At 46.9% G+C, this 2,982-nt stretch overlaps 1 pseudogene; it reads left to right on the forward strand.

Annotated features, from left to right (window-relative positions):
* Positions 755 to 2,127, forward strand: EIF4A1P4 (eukaryotic translation initiation factor 4A1 pseudogene 4; annotated as a pseudogene).

The following is a 2,982-nucleotide window of genomic DNA, read 5'->3' on the forward strand; positions in this document are numbered from 1 at the left end:
ATAAAGGGTCATAATATATGCACTGACTCTCACATGATTCAGAAAAAAATGAGTATAATGCATTTAGAGAGAGAATGACAAAGCAAATTTGTCAAAATGTGAGAAATGGATAAATCTGGGTAAAGAATATATAGGAGGTCTCTGTAACTAAGAATAATGACAAGAATGCAACTTTTCTATAAGTTTGAAATTATTTCAGAATAAAAAGGTTTTGACTATAGTCCTCTGCTGTACCAGTTGAGTTATTGAAGGATGCTATAAAAAAGGTTTTTAAAAGGCACATAAACAGAAGAGAAACAGTCAAATGAGGACTAGGGTGTATAAGGACAGTTCCAAGTGGCCAGTTGAATTCTGACTTTAGCTTGTTCTCTTTTATCTACTTTTTTTTTTTTTAGACAGAGTTTCGCACTTGTTGCCCAGACTGGGGTGCAATGGCACGATCTCGGCTCACCACAACCTCCACCTCCCAGGTTCAAGCGATTCTCCTACCTTAGCCTCCCGAGTAGCTGGGATTTATCTACTTTCTTAAAAGGGCTCTTACTCTCAACCTCAGAGAGCTGCTATGACATCATAGGTACCCCATCCAGCTTCTGACCTTCCCAGGTCCCGGCCTTCCTCCCTGTGAAGGGCAACATCTTCCTTCCCCAGTCAAGGGGAGGCTGGTCCCTGGATCCTAGAGACTAGGATACTTTGATTCCTTTTGCTCTTACCGAAACCAAAACCAAAACCAAATGCCAACAAAAAACTATTCTAGAGTTTCTAAGGATCATGTCTGCGAGCCAGGATTCCTGATCCAGAGACAACGGCCCCAATGGGATGGAGCCCAAAGGTGTCATTGAGAGTAACTGGAATGAGATTGTTGACAGCTTTGATGACATGAACCTCTCAGAGTCCCTTCTCCGTGGCATCTACGCCTATGGTTTAGAGAAGCCGTCTGCCATCCAGCAGCGAGCCATTCTACCTTGTATCAAGGGTTATCACGTGATTGCTCAAGCCCAATCTGGGGCTGGGAAAATGGCCACATTTGCCATATTGATTCTGCAGCAGATTGAATTAGATCTAAAAGCCACCCAGGCCTTGCTCCTAGCACCCACTCAAGAATTGGCTCAGCAGATACAGAAGGTGGTCATGGCACTAGGAGACTACATGGGTGCCTCCTGTCATGCCTGTATCAGGGGCACCAACATGCGTGCTGAGGTGCAGAAACTGCAGACGAAGCTCCTCACATCATTGTGGGTACCCCTGGCCATGTGTTTGATATGCTTAACGGGAGATACCTGTCTCCCAAATACATCAAGATGTTTGTACTGGACGAAGCTGACGAAATGTTAAGCCGTGGATTCAAGGACCAGATCTATGACATATTCCAAAAGCTCAACAGCAACACCCAGGTAGTTTTGCTGTCAGCTGCGATGCCTTCTGATGTGCTTGAGGTGACCAAGAAGTTCATGAGGGACCTCATTCGGATTCTTGTCACGAAGGAAGTGTTGACCTTGGAGGGTATCCGCCAATTCTACATCAATTTGGAACGAGAGGAGTGGAAGCTGGACACACTATGTGACTTGTATGAAACCCTGACCATCACCCCAGGCAGTCATCTTCATCAACACCCGGAGGAAGGTGGACTGGCTCACCGAGAAGATGCATGCTCGAGATTTCACTGTCTTCACCATTCGTGGAGATATGGACCAAAACGAACAAGACGTGATCTTGAGGGAGTTTCGTTATGGCTCTAGCAGTTTTGATTACCACTGACCTGCTGGCCAGAGGCATTGATGTGCAACAGGTTTCTTTAGTCACCAACTATGACCTTCCCACCAACAGGGAAAACCATATCCATAGAATCGGTCGAGGTGGACGGTTTGGCCGTAAAGGTGTGGCTATTAACGTGGTGACAGAAGAAGACAAGAGGACTCTTCGAGACATCGAGATCTTCTACAACTCCTCCATTGAGGAAATGCCCCTCAATGTTGCTGACCTCATCTGAGGGGCTGTCCTGCCACCCAGCCCCAGCCAGGGCTCTATCTCGGGGGGCTGAGGAGCAGCAGGAGTGGGGAGGGAAGGGAGCCAAGGGATGGACATCTTGTCATTTTTTTCTTTGAATAAATGTCACTTTTTGAGGCAAAAACAAAACAAAACAAAACACTCTAACATTGCAACCCACTCAGGCGTTTCCAATGCCTTTATTTTCCTATTTGAGGGAAATATCATTTCCCCAGGCCAAGGGCAAGATGGGTGACTAAACCTGGAAATGGCCTCAACCTTCCTGCAAGTAGTAGATCCACAGCACATGGTTAATAATTTATGCTATTAAGGTTAGGCTACTAAGGCTATTAAGGTGTACGGTCCTAACGGACACACCTATGAATTAGATATACCTGTCAACAGAAGCCGGTCAGATCCATGGTTAAGAACCAGAATAAGATGGTCTGAGTTTAGTTTCTGACTCCACCACTTACAAGTTGTGTGACTGGCTGGGTGTGGCGGCTCTGCCTAGAATCCTGGCCCTTTGGAAGGTTGAGGCTGGAAGGTTGCTTTGAGCCCAGGAGTTTGAGACCAGCCTGGGCAACATAGCCAGACCCTGTCTCTATTTTATGTAGGAGGCTGAGGTAGGCGGATCACGAGGTCAGGAGATCGAGACCATCCTGGCTAACATGGTGAAACCCCCTCTCTACTAAAAATACAAAAAAATTAGCCGGGCGTGGTGGCAGGCGCCTGTAGTCCCAGCTACTCGGGAGGCTGAGGCAGGAGAATGGCGTGAACCCGGGAGGCAGAGCTTGCAGTGAGCCGAGATCGCGCCACTGCACTCCAGCCTGGGCGACAGAGCGAGACTCCAACTCAAAAAAAAAAAAAAAATGTTGTATAACTGAGAGAAGGCAACTAGTTCCCGGAGCTCATGAACCATTCACTCAACAAAGTAACCACCTCATAAGCACCAGACACTATTTTGGGAGGTAGCAAAATGTAAGCTCTCTGCGCTCA

This window comes from Homo sapiens, chromosome 12, assembly GCF_000001405.40.
Source record: "Homo sapiens chromosome 12, GRCh38.p14 Primary Assembly".
NCBI classification, from domain to species: Eukaryota; Metazoa; Chordata; class Mammalia; order Primates; family Hominidae; genus Homo; species Homo sapiens.